Here is an 18,416-nt window from a genome sequence, read left to right as displayed (position 1 = left end):
CAACATGGTGAAACCCCATCTTTACTAATAATGCAAAAATTAGCCAGGCGTGGTGGCGGGCACCCATAGTCCCAGCTACTCGGGAGTCTGAGGCAGGAGAATCACTTGAACCCGGGAGGCGGAGGTTGCAGTGAGTTGAGATCATGCCACTGCACTCCAGCCTAGGTGACAGAACAAGACCCTGTCTCAAATAAAATAAAATAAAATAAAATAAAATAAAAGTGTCTGATTTACCTAAAATAGTCTACATTATTACATTGTTTTACTCCTAATACATAGATCTAAAAACCCATGGTGTATTCAAGTAAAAAATCATGGTGTATTTCAAATTAAAAAGCTAATGTTTATTGTGCCAAGCACTGTTTTGAGTGGTTTTCATGGAGTATATCTTTTAATCTTGATCCTAGCTCTACAAGGTAAATATTGTCTTCCCAGATAAGAAAATCTGGGCTCAGCAGTTGGGTATATTTCCCATCAGTAGCATAAGGCATGGCTAGAGTTTGAAAGTAGTCTTGTGTGATAAGAGCCTCTGAGTTCCTACCATACCACTCTGTGTTACAACTGAACTGCAAAAGTTAAATAGGAGTAAGTACATTTGTGACACTTTGTAGAATACATCTAATGTACTTCATTTTTAAATCTAGATATCTAAGACTACTTTTGTTTTTCAACTGCGGATAAACGTGGTATTGCTATTATATACTTACAATGAAGATATTTTCCAAATCAGAAACTGGAACCAAAGGTTTTACAAAGACAGTTTCAGTTTTGTACACATATGAACAGTCTTATGAAGATATAAAATGTAAAATACATTTAGTTATATATTGAACAAATTACCTTCATTCAAAAGAAAAATAAAGTCACATGAAATAAAGTCCAGTTTGAGAATACTAAACATATGGTTCTATAAAACATAACTTCTATTCTTTATAGCCAAATCTTTTTGTAGTTGCTCTCAGGTCTAGTTTTCACCCTCACTAATTTAGTCACAATCCTTGTTTAGCTAAGGACTTTGAAGCCATTTCATGCTTCAGTGCAGAAAGGTAATTAATGTTCGAATTTTGACCTTTAAAAACACACGTAGAAGATTTAATAACATTGATGTAATTACAATGCTTTAAGTGGTTATTTCTTTTCTTACCGCCACAAAGTAATTGTAATAGAGTCTGATGCTACTATTGTCATTGCTGTTTAAATCATAAACAAGGGAATTGCCAATGTGGAAATGTATCCTAATTCAAATTAGGCATAACATGTAGAATATTAAAATACAAGAAACCTTGCTTCCTTTACTTCCTTTGTTTCTGACACAAAATAAACATGATTACTTTCAATTAGCTAAAAACCTACCCGCACATATATCTAGTTAAATACTATGAATTATTTATCCAGAAGACTCACAGGAGACATTTAAACAGTAAAATGATAAATGATAAATCCTTTCCAACCTACTGGATGAGTAATTTAATCTGTGGTTCCATAGCTAACTTGAGAATGATAGTTTTCACTGGCCATACCAAAAACAAAACAAAACAAAAAACCCCCAAAAGCCACACAACGAAATAAAATCCTCTGGTTTGTAGACAGCTTCATTATCTAGTTTTATAATTATGAGCACAGTATTATTGGGTTTCCATGCATCAGTTGTGAACTGGCTCCCCATACAGCCTGCAGACATATATCTATGAATTGGATCACTTTTAAGAGGTCAGGCTTGTTGCCTCTGCTTCACCATGATTCATCCCACTCCTTATTGTCTTATATCTATACTGTTTTACTCATTTGGGTAATCTTCTGGGCTTTTAGGATCATGCAAGTTTTTTAGCCTTGATTTAGAGGATAAAAGAAAACGTATATTGGCCATTACATTAAAAAAAAAAAAACTTGGGCACCTAAGATAGGTTAATCATATATATGAGTGTGCCAACTGCTTATTTCTTGACTCTCAGCCCTATATCTTTCTTTTATTATTTGCCTTTCTTTGTGATATCAGTCGGACACTCTGTAAACATTTCTGCTTTGCCATTTGGCATAATGCTTCAACTAAAGTAAGAGCTTGAGTGAAACTGCAAGGTAATAGCAGCAGGAAGGCACTTTCCCTTCAGGTTTTTGTTCTCTTTTCTTATAAAGCAGCACCTGAGCCTACTGGCCCTCATGCATCAGCTCCAGCCAGCCACACTCTCACGTCATATTCTCCCTACTTGCGGGCCCACCAGCTATGATCTGTGCCCTCTGGCAAGTGTCTTTGCTCCTGGAAGCTGCCTGTTCCTGCTCTCTTTAAAGAGATCTGAACCTCCATCTTGAGGGGATCCTCTGCTAAGTTATTGTTCTTACATTGTCAACTCTCTTCAGCCTAGATATTGTGGCTATTTGTTTTAAAACCTGCTATCTCTGGGCCCCTTAGAGTTTTCTTTCACACCTTTTAGTACTTACGTATGTTTATTGGTGATTAATTCTTTATCTTCGTCTTCTATATTCAAATTACTAGTGTTATTTCTGTGTTCTAACTAAATCCTGGCTGATACAGTGAGCAATTATAGAGAAGTTTATTCTAGATAAGATGCACCAAAATGTCTTATGAACAAGGCTAATGAAGTTGTATTAGCCCATTTTCACACTGTTGATAAAGACAAAACCGAGTTGGGGGGCAATTTACAAAATAAAGAGGTTTAATTGGACTGACATTTCCACGTGGCTGGGGAAGCCTCACAATCATGGTGGATGGTAAGGAAAAGCAAGTCACATCTTACATAGATGGCAGCAAGCAGAGAGAGAGGAAGATGCAAAAGCAGAAACCCCTTATAAAGCCATCAGATCTCATGAGACTTATTCACTACCATGAGAACAATATGGGGGAACTGCCCCCATGATTCAATTATCTCCCACCAGGTCACTCCCACAACATATGGGAATTATGGGAGTAAAATTCAAGGTGAAATTTGGGTGGAGACACAGAGCCAAACCATATCATTCCACCCCTGGCCCCTGCCAAATCTTATGTCTTCACATTTTAAAACCAATCATGCCTTCCCAACAGTCCCCCAAAGTCTTAACTCATTTCAGCATCAACTCAAAAATCCACAGCCCAAAGTCTCATCTGAGACAAGGCAAATCCCTTCTGCTTATGAGCCTGTAAAATCAAAAGCAAACTAATTATTTCCTAGATACAATGGGGGTACAGACATAGGGTAAATACAACCATTCCAAGTGGGAGAAATTGGCCAAAACAAAGGGGCTACAGGGCCTGTGCAAGTCCAAAATTCAAATGGGCAGTCAAATTTTAAAGCTCTAAAGTGATCTCCTTTTACTCCAGGTCTCACATCCAGGTCACGCGATGCAAGAGGTGGGTTCCCATGGTCTTGGGCAGCTCTGCCCCTGTGACTTTGCAGGGTACAGCCTCTGTCCTAGCTGCTTTTACAGGCTGGCGTTGAGTGTCTGAGGTTTTTCCATATGCAAGGTGCAAGCCCTTGGTGGATGTACCATTCTGGGGTCTGGAGGATGATGGCCTTCTTCTTACAGCTCCACTAGGTGGTGCTCCAGTAGGGACTCTGTGTGGGGGCTCCAACCCCACATGTCCCTTCTGCAGTGCCCTAGCAGAGGTTCTTCATGAGAGCCCTGCCCCTGTAGCAAACTTCTGTCTGGAAATCCAGGCACTTCCATACATCTTCTGAAATCTAGGTGGAGGTTCCCAAACCTCAATTCTTGACTTTTCTGCACCTGCAGGCTCAACACCACATGGAAGCTGCTGAGGCCTGGGGCTTGCACCATCTGAAGCCACGGCCCAAGTTCTACATCGGCCCCCTTTCAGCCATGGTGGGAGCAACTGGGGCACAGGGCAGCAAGTCTATAAGCTGCACACAGCTCAGGGACCCTGGGCCTGGCCCTGGCCCACAAAACAACTTTTTCCTCCTAGGCCTCCAGGCCTGTGATGGGAGGGGCTGCTGTGAAGACCTCTGACATGCCCTGGAGACATTTTCCCCATTGTCTTGGGGATTACAATTTGGCTCCTAGTTACTTATGCAAATTTCTGCAGCTGGCTTGAATTTCTCCTCAGAAAATGGGATTTTCTTTTCTATTGCAATGTCAGGCTGCAAATTTTTCAAACTTTTGTGCTCTGTTTCCCTTTTAAAACTGAATGCTTTTAACAGAACCCAAGCCACCTCTTGAATGCTTTGCTGCTTAGAAATTTATTCCACCAGATACCCTAAATGATCTCTCTCAAGTTCAAAGTTCCACAAATCTCTAGGGTGGGGCAAAATGCCACCAGTCTCTTTGCTAAAACATAACAAGAGTCACCTTTGCTCCAGTTCCCAACAAGTTCCTCATCTCCATCTGAGACCACCTCAGCCTGGATCTTATTGTCCATATCATTATCAGCATTTTGGGCAAAGCCATTCAACAAGTTTCTAGGAAGTTTCAAACTTTCCCACATTTTCCTATCTTCTGAGCCCTCCAAACTGTTCCAACCTCTGCCTGTTACCCAGTTCCAAAGTTGCTTCCACATTTTCAGGTATCTTCTCAGCAGCACCCCACGCTACTGGTACCAATTTACTGTATTAGTCCGTTTTCATGGTGCTGATAAAGACATATCCAAGACTGGACAATTTACAAAATAAACAGGTTTAATTGGACTTACAGTTCCATGTGGCTGGGGAAGCTTCACAATCATGGCAGATGGCAAGGAGGAGCAAGTCATGTCTTACATAGATGGCAGCAGGCAAAGAGAGAGTGAGGAAGATGCAAAAGCAGAAACCCCTGATAAAACCATCATTTCTCAAGAGACTTATTCACTACCATGAGAACAGTGTGGGGGAAACAGCCCCCATGATTCAATTATCTCCCACCAGGACCCTCCCACAATACATGCGAATTATGGGAGTACAATTCAAGATGAGATTTGGGTAGGGACACAGAGCCAAACCATATCAGAAGTGTTCTAGGAAATAGAAATTGAAGCAGGATCTATGATATGCCAGGTTGCACTTCTATGTACATAAATTAAGTTTTACTTTTTAAAAATCTTATTTAATATCAGTAAACTTTAATGAATGGTAAAAGCAATGGCTGAATTTCTTACTAGGAAGAAGCTGAAAACAGGGCTATTAATTTTCAGCCTATGATATCTGAAACTATATTGAATAATGATTTGAATTAAAATCAGTCACTAAGAATACACACACACAGGTGCACAGAAAACCAAAGGGGCCTTTTCCTTATTCATCAATTAATTCACATGACAACAAAAGGCCAGTAAGTTACAATTGGGTAGATTGGGTGTCCTTTGTCCTCAAAATATTTTTTTCTTTTTGTATATAGGTAAGGATTTGTAGATCAATAATCATTTTGATTTCAGCATGCAATTACATTCTCTTTGCTTGAGTTCCTTTGAGTTATGTACAAAGCTTCCTGTTCTGAAGCCACCGTGTATTTGTTTTTCTGCTCTGGTTTCATTGCATCCTGATGGCAAGTTAAATTATGAAAAACGTTAGTCTTTAATTCCATCAAGATGTTGATGTCAGAGAAAGGTAAAGTTACAAATTAGATGGTACTAGGAAACTTGAGTCATGGTGTACTGGAAGGACCCCTATAAACTTGTTTTTTTTCTTTTTTGATTTTATGGAAATTAAAGATGCAAGTAAGGCAGCCTGGTAAACTCATCTGCTGATAGTTCGCATGAAGTCTTTTAGTTAGAAAACTTCATAGTACCAAAAATATAAACAAATTGTAACAAGTGATAAAACTGAATCCCAGATTGTTAATCATTTATACCAGACATTAACGTCCTCAAAATGTATCCTAATACATTTTGGTAGGGATTGTGCAAGTTCAGGCTAGAGCTTCTAGGTCAGCAAGTAATTAACACAAGTAACATTCAATTCAATCCAAATAAGGATTGAAATGAAATCCTTTGTACATTGTCCCTACAATGTACAAAATAATGGGCCATCAAGGAGCTTAAGATCTGATGGGTGTAGAGATGGTTCACTCCGAAGTACTCCACATAGTGATGCTTTACACCTAAACAAGAATCCTCAGCTATTGCATTTTGACTTTGGTTTGGCTAGATATAAATTATTTCTCCTTTTAAATTTCTTATTCTTTATTTTTCCCCCAGTAGTGAACCTCCAATTTTTGCCAGCTTCTTACTATCGCCAGGGAAAAAGTGAAGCAGGTGGTTGAATAAATCTGAAAAAACTGTTGAAATGACTATTTGTTTGAAAATATTTGGATAATTGTTTTATACCAGTTTTGTTTTACCAGCAGGTGCACTTTGTTAACAGTTTACTGGCAAATCTGTGAAAGACACAAATCTTAGTGCCAGGCCATTTAGATGGAATACTTTTGACCATGGTGTGTTGATAGCCTTTTCACTATCATCAGTTCCTTTCCATAGAGGACACTTATTTATTTAACAAACACCTCCTTAGCATGTATCAATATACCCAAGGCTAGACTATTTGCTCCAATCTGAAAGGGCAAAATCCTGGAAGAGGCCTTTCATTGGTTAATATATCTCTCCCTCAAAACATAGATGTGACAAAGGTGAAGTAAATTTGTCTCTCTGCTGCTGGCACCCTGCACTCGCCCCCTCACTTTATTGTGAAGATATTTTCATTTAACAATTTGAAATATAAATTGGAGGACTTCCAGTGGTTTTTTAGGGATTTTAGGGTGTCTCTTCTCCAACCCTGGAAATGTACAACTCATCAAGTCATCAGAAAAAATTCTGCCTCATCTTTGGGATCTATAAACCCATTTATAAAAAAAAAAAAGTCAAAACACACATCAATAAACATTTGCAACCACATGACATTTGTTGCAGTTGTCTTCATTTTAATGTTTGAAAAGAAAAGAAACATTCTTTTCTAAACAAGAACTCTCTTTCTTTTGAATCTTTTCTCATAATGGAGGTGTTGTCTTCCCAAAATTCCATTTAATAGTTAAAAATTGTGTATACTTTTCTAGGCCATTTCAAATAATCTTTTCTCTAGGAAACTATTTTATCTGTCAAACCAAGATAATATTTTCTTCTACTCCACAATACTTTCTAAGTTTTGTTTTTTAAAGTTTTATAACATTGCAGGTACTATGAGTAGAAAAATACTTTCCTCTATAATTTTTGTTTGTTCACTAATGTATCAGGAAGATATTAATATCATATTGCTTTATTGTCATTAATAAAAAGAGAACAGGGAGGGTAACTCCGATTATACGTCTTCAAAGGTAAATACAATTTATCATTTGAATTACTCTGACAATCAGACCAAAGATAACTTTGTCACTGGAAAATCATGAAAGAAAAGTTAAAAAACATCAAAAAATTTGTAACCTGCCTCCATGTTTATGTTTGGAGCACCTGTCTCAGGAATATTTCCCTCCTTAGAATGTGGAGTGTTTGGATGGGGTGTAAAGTAACGAATCATTCCCCATTACTCTTCAACACAATCTGCCATCTGCTCCTTTTCAGAATAGTGGCAGCTGCCAGGCACCCCAGTGAAATTGCTTTACAAGTTTCCTCAGAGTGCCACGGATGGGCAGAAGCTGAAAACAGTCAGAGGTGGGAAACCTTTGCTTCCTTTCAACAGGGACCTCAGCCTCACCTGCTCAAGACTGCAATCTCTCTGGGGTTAAGGCTTTCTCAGATGTCCTCCTTCCAGTCCAAGAAGACACCGTGGGCAATATGGGGCAGTTTTCCTCCACTCCAGGAGGCCCTGTGGTAATTCCCCTCAGCTCCCAGTCAAAGTCCAGTTACCTAAGAGAGGATCTCCACCTGCTAGTTCTGCCTTTTTATTTTTTTGAAATTTTGTGTTTTAATATTCAAGGTAAAATAAATTAAGTCTAAAAGAAATAAGAAGTAGAATAGAAAACTCTTGGTGTGGGGTTATACTAGGGAGGGAAGATGCCTTTGAAAAATAGCCCAAGAGTGCAACATGTCCTGATCCCAGTACTCCACAGAAACCTACCTCTCCTTATCCCCTCTTTTGTGCCCCAGTGGCCACAGGGATGTCAGCCATTGGCATTTTACTTTCAAGTAAGCCTCCAGATCCTTTATAGTGCCTCCTTCCTGAGGGTTCCCAGACACGAGTCACACCTGTCCTCTTCAGAACTGCCTTCTAATATGGTCTCAGAGTCTTTGGAGTGAGGAGATATTAGCACTTCTGTGTTCTTTGTAGCTCTATTCACACTAGCCAAGATATAGAAACAACCTAAATGTTCATCAACAGATGAATGGATAAATAAAATGTGCATACATACAATGGAATATTATTCAACCTTAAAAAAGAGGGACATGCTGAAATATGGGACAACATGGATGAACCTTAAGGATGTCAGGCTAATGAAATAAAATAGTCACAGAAAGACAAATACTGCATGATTCCACTTACATGAGAGTACCAACCAGTCACCTCTGTGGCCAATTCCAATGCCTTCCCTTCAAGTTCAACTGGCCTTAGCAGGGAACTGATCACTCTACAGCCCCTCATGCAGTTACCAGAGAGAATTGCCAGAATTCTGACAAAGCAGGAGCAGATTTACCAAAGGGTCTTGCTAGTTGACTACCTTTGCTTTTTAACCTGGGACTTGGGCACTTCTGAATTCCAGAGGTCCCTGCTCTGACTCATTTCAGCATCAATTTTTACTTCCCAGAACAAAGAGCACAATGCCCTTGAAGATCTTGTGATAAGATTTAATCAGGTGCTTTTAAGACCAGATGTCTCAATTTTGAGTTTTGACAACATGATCTCTAGTGACATTTGTCTAGTCTAGCCCATCCCCTTTTCCACCCATCAGGCCTTTTTAGCAGAAACTCAAAAACTGACAGATCTGGGTACGGAGATCAGGCAGGAATTGTAGACTTGAAGAGAAATGAAGCACCCCACTCCAGCTCTCTGCATTTCGCCAAGATCTTCAATCACAGAAAGTCAATCCCAGGTCTATGTTTACTTCACTTTCTTTTCTCCAAGGATGGAGATTTACATCAAGCAAGAGTTGAACTAATGAGGAACAGAAGGAAACTCTTAGCCTGTTATGATGTTGAGGAGGAGGGTTGGGGGAATTAAGTAAATGGCAATTTAGGAAAACGTCTTCTGTGGAAAAAAAAAATTATGGTTGGAGAAAAAGTGTGTATGGTTAGGCCAGCCAGCATCGATTTCCTCTTCTTAAAAGCACTCAACAATTTTTGGAGGAATTACCTCTTCCACACTGAATGCAGTCTGGTGAGCTCTGAACAAAGGCTCTGCCTCCTTCAACCAATGGGTTAGCACCTGACCCAGTCTGAACCAGTGTAAATCTCAGGCAGAGGAATAAAGACTAACAATCATAGAAATTTTATTCCCTCTTGGGGTGGAAGATGAAAAGGAGGGATGTTCTGACTGCCCCAACTGCTGAATCCTGTTTTCCAGCCTGGAAGACAGTCTTGAGTCTGGCCCATTTCAAAACCCTAGCCTGTATTAGCTCCTGATAGTTTTCCACATAAATTCTGTTTAACCTCAGCAAAATGAGATTATTTCTGTTGCTTAAAACTAAAGAACCTTCATTATGTGATTATATAACTCAGAAAAATAAGCCATAGAATGAATATTGATATTGCAAGTACATTAGATCCTTGTTACCTGGCCCATGGTTTGCTTGATAATATAACAAGATTAGGCACCAAATACATCAACATTAAATATATAAGGGAATCTGTATATGTTTGTTCACTTCACAGAAAACAAACACAGCAATTGAAAGAGTTTTGGACATTTCAAAGAGAGCTGACAAGCAGTGCCCTTGGAATGGTTCTAAACCTCAGGCATCAACAAACTGAATTATGAGAACATGAACTCTCCCCTTTCTCTTTTAGATAAGATTGCTTGCAGTAATAAACAATAGGGTAATCAGGAATATAGTCAACCATATACACTCTGAATAGAAAGCCAGAACAACTTATTCCCATATACAGTTGATACTACTGGAGAATTTGCAGCACTGTGAAAAGATAATTTCTTTGAAAATGTTTGCAGACGAGAAAAAATATAAAGTAACAATCTTGGAACAGATTTACTTATTTTGTATTTTATCATGAAGGTATTTGAATGCCAACGTGCTTTCCAATACGTGGCCCAAAGGCTTTATGACTGAAGTTTCTTCAAGAAAGGCAGGGGTCAAAAAAAACAAACCCAAAACATAAATTAACCATGTCAAAAATATGGTGGCATCACAACAGAAGCTCATAAAATGAAAATCAACTGTAATAAATATTTCCCTTAAAAATTCCTGAGGGAAGACATCCCCATTGGAGATCATCATGGTGTTTCCTGTTGTAACTATAATGAGTCCAACGCTAGTTTGTCCCCCAATATTGGAACATATTACTCTTTATTAGATGTGCACAAGAAGATTAAATAACTTGCTTATGTTTGACAAAAAAGAAAGCTTTGCTATAACCACACTTATTGAGGCAAGAAGCTCCCAACTGTCAGTCAGGCAGAGCTACCTGAAACAGAGACTGTTAGAAAGAAGATTCACCATTTCATGCTGACTCCTAGGCTTAAGATAGCTGAGGTTTTCTATACATTGAAATTATTGATTCCCTGTCTGTTATTTTGGCAAGCCAACTTCTCAAAAGTTGAATATATGGTTGATATGACTCCACTGTAGACTAGTGAATGATTCTTTGGGCAGATCTCAACTCAACTGAAGCCTACTTCAGTCATGCTTTCCTTTGGCTTATAACTCCATCTTGCGGTTTACCCTATTGGCTAGAGAAAATTATAGATTGACTGCCATCCAGTTAGTTGATTAAACAATAATAGCCACCAGTGCTGGCATCATGAAAGGCTCTTAAGAAGTTTTATCAAATTTAATCCTGAAAGGTGGGTATTATTATCTTCATTTTACAGACTTTCATAAAAAGGAAGGTTCAGAGAAGTTATGTAAACTGTTTTAGGTCACACAGCCAGTAAAAGACAGATCTGACATAAACCTACCCTCCAAAACTCATGTTCTTTATTCTTTACCACATTACCTATTTAAAAAGAATTGTCAATAATTTCATTTTAGAGCTAGGAGTCTATTCAGATTCAGTAAACTGTAATAAATAATAGAATAGGCTTTAGACCCACACAGCTTGAGCTTCATTCCTACTTCATCCTCTTACTCAGGAGTAACCAAGGGAAAGTTAAGTAATCTCACTGCTCTGTGACTCAGTTTCCTCATCTGCAAAATGGGGATAATAATGGAACCTACTTCATAGAGATATTATAAGGATTAAATGTGTAGAAGCATGGAAAGCTTTTGGAACCATGTTTGACACACAAGTGCTCAGTTGCTCCATAAATATTAGCTATTAATATCTATTATGTGATTGATGGTGATGTAATTCTCCTTGACAGTTTTGATTAAGTCAAGGATTCTGTGGGCACTGGTTTCGAAACTACATGGTGTTACTTTCTTGAGACCTCTCATTGATCAGTTAGCATTAATTATGTGGCTCCTGTGAGTGTCTAATATCAAATTATGTAGATACAGGATAAAAAGCAATGGAAGATAATTACACTGTCCATAAGGAATTTCTAGCTGGAGTCAAGTCTTAAATGAAAAGGGTGCAGCTAAATGGCAGAAGCTAAAGGGCTGATTGGGAGTCCACCAGGAAGCCTTGCACCATGGAAATGATTTGGCAGTTTCATCATTGGCCAGCCTCTGTCCCTCTTTATTGTAGGCCCAGAAATCCAAACTCCCCAGTGCCTCTTCTTTTTATCTATTTCTGCCTAACAACCTAACTGAAAACTTAGTGTCTTCAACCAACAATATACACGTATTTTCTCTTATAGTTTCTGTGCTCTAGGAATTGGGGGAAAGCTCTGTTGGGTGGTTCTGTCTCAGGGTCTCCTACGATTGCAATTGGTTGGTGAGTAAAGCAAGAACAGCAGGTGACATCTGGAGTAGCAGGAGACATTTCTCTCGCTACAGGTAGTCTCAGGCCCTCTTCACGTGGTCTCTCCATATGGTCTCTCCATCCTGGTGGCCTCAGGGTAGCCAGAGTTATTACTTGGTATTCAGGGATCCAAAAGTGATCATCCCAGGAGAAATAGGCAGAAGCCTTTTATTGGCCACCAGAATCACTTCCACTGCATTCTCTTTGTCAAAGCAATGACAAAACCTTGCCCAGTTTCAACTGGAAGGGACACATGCCCCACCTTTTGAAGAGAGGAAAGTCAAAGAATTTGCATTGTTTTAAATTACCACAATGCCAAAGAACTGGCTGTATCCAGGACATATCTAAAGCTCACAGAGCTATCATGTAAAACTGGAAAGCTAATTTATAATAAGAAATAAGACTGTCAAGCAGATCACATACTGAAGCCAGCTTGACACACCAATTTTCACCCAGTGGACATGGTATGCTATATACCAAAATATCAGAATGCCAATTGCTGAATATGGAATTAGGCAATAAGTGTAAAAATGTTTGAAATGTTTAATGTCATCAGAAATTCATCTCCTCACTGTTGGGAAGATCATGTTGACATGACCGGGCTTTTGTTTTCCTATACAATGCTGCACTGATGGTGCTTGCATTAGCTTTTGTGCTTGCATTGCCTTTACCTAAAATTTTTGTTGCCAATCATATTTCCTCCAACATGAACATTTTGAAAATTGTTAATATGATACCCACCATGTTTTGCTGTCCTGGAAAAAGTATCTCTTTAACATGCCATTCCAAATCTTTGTGCCTAGACGATAGTCTTACCTATGTAACAGGTATGAATCTCAACCTAAAATTCAGTTGTTTAAGAAATATTCAGTTGTTTATTTCTTTAAATCAAATCAAACTGTACTCCAAGTGCTAAACCTACAAGGTCAGTGAAATATTCAACCCTAATCATTCTTCAGACATCCCCGCCTCCAGTGTTGGCCAAAAATCCTGGGTGTAATGGTGACTTTTGGGTTGCTCAGGGTCCTGATGCCACTCTCTGCTGCTTCTTTGCCATGCTTAAAATATAGGAATCTTTGGCAAGCTTGGACATCATGTAGCTCAAATGCAGCCTCTCCTGAACGCTTTCCAAATCCCTGGAAAATTGCCGCAAATTCATGAGCTGATCCTGGTTGTCTCCAGGATCCACCATGCTTCAGGATCCTGGTTGTTTCCTTCATAGTCTCAGGCCCTGCAAGAACTATCTGTTTTTTTCAACTCTGCTGTGGGTCATCCAGCCCTATCTCTTCAATATACTGAAGCACTTCAAAATACAGACAAATAAAATAATGAGAACCAATGGCTTCAGGTAGGCTTAGCAAAATCCCCAAGGCCATAAAGTAAAGGAGAAATTCTCTTAGCTAAGGTCTACTTATCAACTCCTGATTACATGAAACCCTGCGTTCTCTCTGTTAAACACTTGAACTGTCTCCCAGCATAGATTGAACAATGCCTGTCTAGAATGCCCTACTTTTCTTAGCTCAGACTGGTTGAGTTATATGTTTACCAAGAATCTACTGTGTTAAATAACAATTTTATTTAAGCCTATTTTGTTATTGTAATTTTATACTTTAGGTAAATATTACACATACAAAATGAGTACCAATATAAAGTGTTCTTTACATTAAAATTAAATACTTTTAAATGCCCAAGGTGAGTTGCACAAATATAAATTGCTGCTAAATTAGACGTGAACAAGAGAACTGTGAAAGTTGGAAAAAGTCATAAAAATATAAAAAAATTATGCACTCCAATTGCTCTCTAAATATGTGCAATTTCTCATTCCTTTTTGTAGAGACTAGCATGACGGATGTATGTTTCTGCAAGAAAAGTGATTGGGAAATTCAATCAGTAGACCTGGACCGGGGAATTTTTCCCAGATAGAGATTCAGGGTCTAATCAAGAAATGTCTTGTACCTCAGCAGGATTTCATAATTGCCACAGATCGGTGGCTGCTAGGGGTTTTTCATTTTTCTCTATTCTAAATAAAAGTTTTTATGACATTTATTCTGCCCCTGATTTATCATTACATAACCAAAGTGTATCTGGATCATATGGAGAAGAGTGCACATCACTCAGAAGTCCTGGATGTTCACCTGGATGAAGTGAGTGAAATAGACTTTCAGTTGCTTGAGGAGGGAAGTGAATGTGTTCCATATGAGGGAAGAAAAATGAATATATAGTGGCAGAAGAACAAATTCCAAAGAGACTGTCTATCTCTTTACAAATTAGGGCCTTCTTCTTCCCAGACACATAAATAGGATATATCACTGAGCATAACTTCTTACCTTGTAGTTGGTGCTCTATTGGATATACAATGGAGTTCTAGACAATGAGATATGAACAGAAGTGATATGTTCTATTTTCAAGCTAATACATACAGACCATATACTTGATATCCTCCATGTTTTTCCTCTTCCTGCTGGCTTGATGCAGATAAGCATGGGTGTCTTGGAAGCCACTTGTTTAAGAGGGATTGTAATCAGTCCTGGATGTAGACACATACAGCATGAGAATTCTTAGAAGTTTTGGATTAACTTCCATATGTTGTAGGGAGGAATCTTACTCTTTAAGCTCAGATATTCAAGAAATATTCACTTTTTGTCCCGCTTGAATAAAATTAAGCCAGAATTTAAACCCAAGCTTCAGCCCACCAGGCTGGCGGGAAATGCAATTTCAGCCTTTATTAAGGCTTGGTCAGAGTCTCTTCAGGTCAGATAGTTTCACTGTTTCTAAGACATGTTTGTGACTCACTTGGTGAGTCTGGGAGCCCCTGTCCAGATTCCCTGAGCTCATCACAAGCCATCCCTCTGAAGGTTGTCATCTCCTTGGAGGACAGCCTCTGAACTATATATAGGTTCCCTTACTCTCACCAGGACCCTCAACCTGTGGTCCTTTTCCAACCTCAGCCCCAAATTTTAATCTCTTTCTTTTTCTTCCCTTCTCTGCTTCAAAATCTATCTCCCTCTATCCCCATGTGAACTGTGGAACAGGCAAAATGATCATTTAATAGATTGAGATTTTACAAAGGACAGGGAGAGCCAATGACCTTAGCCATTCTATCTCTCTGTGTTTTGTAAAAATCCATGAGTCACAGTGACAAAGGCTGACCAACAATTTGAAATGACAAAGGAGAAAAATATTGCTGAAAACATGACTCATACAAATGAATCATCATGGCACAGCAACATAAAACTCTGGAGTCTTTACTCAAGGGGTTGCTAGGGCTAGTTTTCGTGGTCACACTTCAGCTAATGCTCATTAAGTGATCATGTGGAATATTGACCATTAATGTATAAATGTTTTCATTAACCCAAAACTGATATGTAGTGACTATTCATATGAATTGAATGCAATTCTGGACATTAACTTAAACAAACAATCGATCTAGGTTTTTGGATGTTTAATCAAATATTGACAAATTTTCTGAAGGATATCGATGACTAAACTTTGTGTAAGAACTCTGTGAGGCCTATAGAAAAAAATTTGAATGACATATGAAAAGAGAAACCAATAAGCTATGAGCTCAAAATAAACACTATGGAAGCAGAGATAGGCAAAAAGCACTAAAGATTAAAAAATAGGAATTAAGCAAAATAAGAGGAAAGCATCCAGCAAATACCAATAGTCAATGAGCCATAATAATTACAGACAAGCATATGGTGAGTATGTGAGCGAAAACTGGGAGCACTGAGATGTACAATTTTGAAGACAGGAATTAAGCTTGACGAATAAATATTTAGAATGGTGTAATGACAGAAAAGGGTTAACTTCATTCAATCTCTGAGATACCTGCTCTGCAATGAGAGCTGCTGCCTGTGAGACACAAGAAGCAAAACTCCACAAAGAAAATAAACGATTGTACAATTCAGCAATGGCACTGGTCTCACTGAGCCCCTAGGATCAGATCTCTGTCAGGAAATGGTTCCTAGTGCTTTGAATACTCAGAATAAATGTGTTCCTGTTTTATGAAGAATTTTAAAAACATGCTGAGCTGATACATGTTGAGGTAGAACATCTAGGTTTTCATACACAGGCATACCTAAGAGATATTGCAAGTTTGGTTCCAGACCACTGCAATAAAGTCAATATTGCAGTAAGGTGAGTCACACAGATTTTTTTATTTCCTACTGGATTTTAAAATTGTACTTACTGTTGTTTATTAAGTGTGCATTGTGTCTCAAAAACAACATGCACACCTTGCTTAAAAAATGCTTTATTGCTAAAAATGCTAATGAAGATCTGAACCTTCAGTGAGTCTTCATCTTTTTGCTGGTGGAGGGTCTTGCCTTCATGTGGATGACTTCTGACTGATCAGGGTACTGATTGCTGAAGGTTGGGGTGGCTGTGGCGATTGCTTAAAATTTCTTAGAATAAGGCAACAATAAAGTTTACAGAATTGATTGACACTTCCTTTCATCAAATATTTCACTGAAGCATACAGTGCTGTTTCATAGTATTTTACCCCAGTAAAACTTCTGTCAAAATTGGAGTCAATCTTCTCAAACCCCGCTGCTGCTTTATCAACCACATTTATGGAATATTCTAAACCCTTCATTGTTATTTCAATAATGTTCATAGCATCTTCACCAGGAGTAGTTTCCAACTCAAGAAATCACTTTCTTGCTCATCCATAAGAAGCAACTCCTCATCTGCTTAAATTTGATCATGAGATTGCAGAAATTCAGTCATATCTTCAGGTGTCTAATTCTAGTTCTCTTGCTATTTCCACCACATTTGCAGTGACTCACTCCATTGAAGTCCTGAACCCCTCAAATTCATCCATGAGAGTTGGAATCAACTTCTTCCCAACTCCTGTTAATGTTGATAATTTGACCTTTCTTCATGAGTTATGAATGTTCTTAATGGCATATAAAAAGGTGAATTGTTTCCAGAAGATTTTCAATTTACTCTTCCCAGATCCATCAGAGAAATGATAGCAGCTATAGCCTTAAAAAATGTATTCCTCAAATAATAAGACTTGAAAGCCAAAATTACTCCTTGATCCCCGAACTGCAGAAGGGATGTTGTATTAGCAGGCATGAAAACAACATGAATCTCCTTTAAAAAGTCAGGAAACAACAGGTGCTGGAGAGGATGTGGAAAAATAGCAACACTTTTTACACTGTTGGTGGGACTGTAAACTAGTTCAACCATTGTGGAAGACAGTGTGGCCATTCCTCAGGGATCTAGAACTAGAAATACCATTTGACCCAGCCATCCCATTACTGGGTATATACCCAAAGGATTATAAATCATGCTGCTATAAAGACACATGCACACGTATGTTTATTGCGGCACTATTCACAATAGCAAAGACTTGGAACTAACCCAAATGCCCATCAATGATAGACTGGATTAAGAAAATGTGGCACATATACACCATGGAATACTATGCAGCCATGAAAAATGATGAGTTCATGTCCTTTGTAGGGACATGGATGAAGCTGGAAACCATCATTCTCAGCAAACTATCGCAAGGACAGAAAACCAAACACCGCATGTTCTCACTCATAGGTGGGAATTGAACAATGAGAACACATGGACACAGGAAGGGGAACATCACACACCGGGGCCTGTCATGAGGTTGGGGAGGGGGGAGGGATAGCATTAGGAGATATACCTAATGTAAATGATGAATTAATGGGTGCAGCACACCAGCATGGCACATGTATACCTATGTAACAAACCTGCACATTGTGCACATGTACCCTAGAACTTCAAGTATAATAATAATAATAATAATAATAATGATAATAATAAAAGAAAACAACATGAATCTCCTTATACATCTCCATCAGAGCTCACAGGTAACCAGGTGCATTGCTAACGAGGAGTATTATTTTGAAAGGAATCTTTATTTCTCAGAAGTAGGTCTTAACAGTGAGCTTAAAATATTTAGTAAACTATGCTGTAATGAGATGTGCTGTCATCCAGGCTTTATTCTTCCATTTATAGAGCACAGGTAGAATAGAATTAGCATAATTCTTAAAGGCCCTGGAATTTTCAGAATGATAAATGAACACTGGCTTCATCTTAAAGTCACCAGCTGCATTAGGCCTCAACAAGAGAGTCAGCTTGTTTTTTGATTCTTTGAAGCCCGGCATTGAGTTTCCTCTGTAGCTATGAAAATCCTAGATGGTATCTTCCTCTGAAAGAAGGCTGTTTCATCTACAAAGAAAATCTGTTGTTTAGTGTAACCACCTTCATCATCTTAGATCATATCTAGATCCTCTGGATAACTTGCTGCAGCTTCTATAAGAGCACTTGCTGCTTCACCTTGCACTTTTATGTTACAGAGATGACTTCTTTCCTTGAACCTCATGAATCAGCCTCTGCTAGCTTCAAACTTCCTTTTGCAACTTCCTAACCTCTCTCAGCCTTCATAGAATTGAAGAGTTAGAGTGTTGCTCTGGATTAGGTTTCGACCTAAGGGAATGTTGTGGCCGGTTTG

At 38.6% G+C, this 18,416-nt stretch overlaps 1 pseudogene, besides 4 other annotated features; it reads left to right on the top strand.

Moving 5' to 3' along the window:
* On the top strand, nucleotides 8,389-8,894 carry PLCE1P1 (phospholipase C epsilon 1 pseudogene 1; annotated as a pseudogene).
* Nucleotides 14,344-14,490: a transcriptional cis regulatory region, noted in NCBI's record as "candidate enhancer chrX.505 targeted for multiplex CRISPR interference". NCBI's record gives its function as "positively regulates MAGEB2 gene expression with high confidence in K562 cells {active_cell/tissue: K562}" and the evidence as "EXISTENCE:mutant phenotype evidence [ECO:0000015][PMID:30612741]".
* Nucleotides 14,471-15,670: an enhancer, noted in NCBI's record as "P300/CBP strongly-dependent group 1 enhancer chrX:30301194-30302393 (GRCh37/hg19 assembly coordinates)". NCBI's record gives its function as "activates an origin of replication core promoter dependent on BRD2, BRD4, P300/CBP, MED14 and CDK7 cofactors, with strong dependence on P300/CBP, by STARR-seq in HCT116 cells {active_cell/tissue: HCT116}" and the evidence as "EXISTENCE:reporter gene assay evidence [ECO:0000049][PMID:35650434]".
* Nucleotides 14,581-15,321: a transcriptional cis regulatory region, noted in NCBI's record as "candidate enhancer chrX.504 targeted for multiplex CRISPR interference". NCBI's record gives its function as "positively regulates MAGEB2 gene expression with high confidence in K562 cells {active_cell/tissue: K562}" and the evidence as "EXISTENCE:mutant phenotype evidence [ECO:0000015][PMID:30612741]".
* Nucleotides 16,354-16,455: a silencer, noted in NCBI's record as "fragment chrX:30300409-30300510 (GRCh37/hg19 assembly coordinates)". NCBI's record gives its function as "represses an EF-1alpha promoter that drives an FKBP-Casp9 reporter gene in an ReSE screen in phorbol 12-myristate 13-acetate-treated (for megakaryocytic differentiation) K562 erythroleukemia cells {active_cell/tissue: K562(+PMA)}" and the evidence as "EXISTENCE:reporter gene assay evidence [ECO:0000049][PMID:32094911]".

This window comes from Homo sapiens, chromosome X, assembly GCF_000001405.40.
Source record: "Homo sapiens chromosome X, GRCh38.p14 Primary Assembly".
Classification (NCBI taxonomy): Eukaryota; Metazoa; Chordata; class Mammalia; order Primates; family Hominidae; genus Homo; species Homo sapiens.
This window is presented reverse-complemented; position numbering and strand designations above follow the sequence as displayed.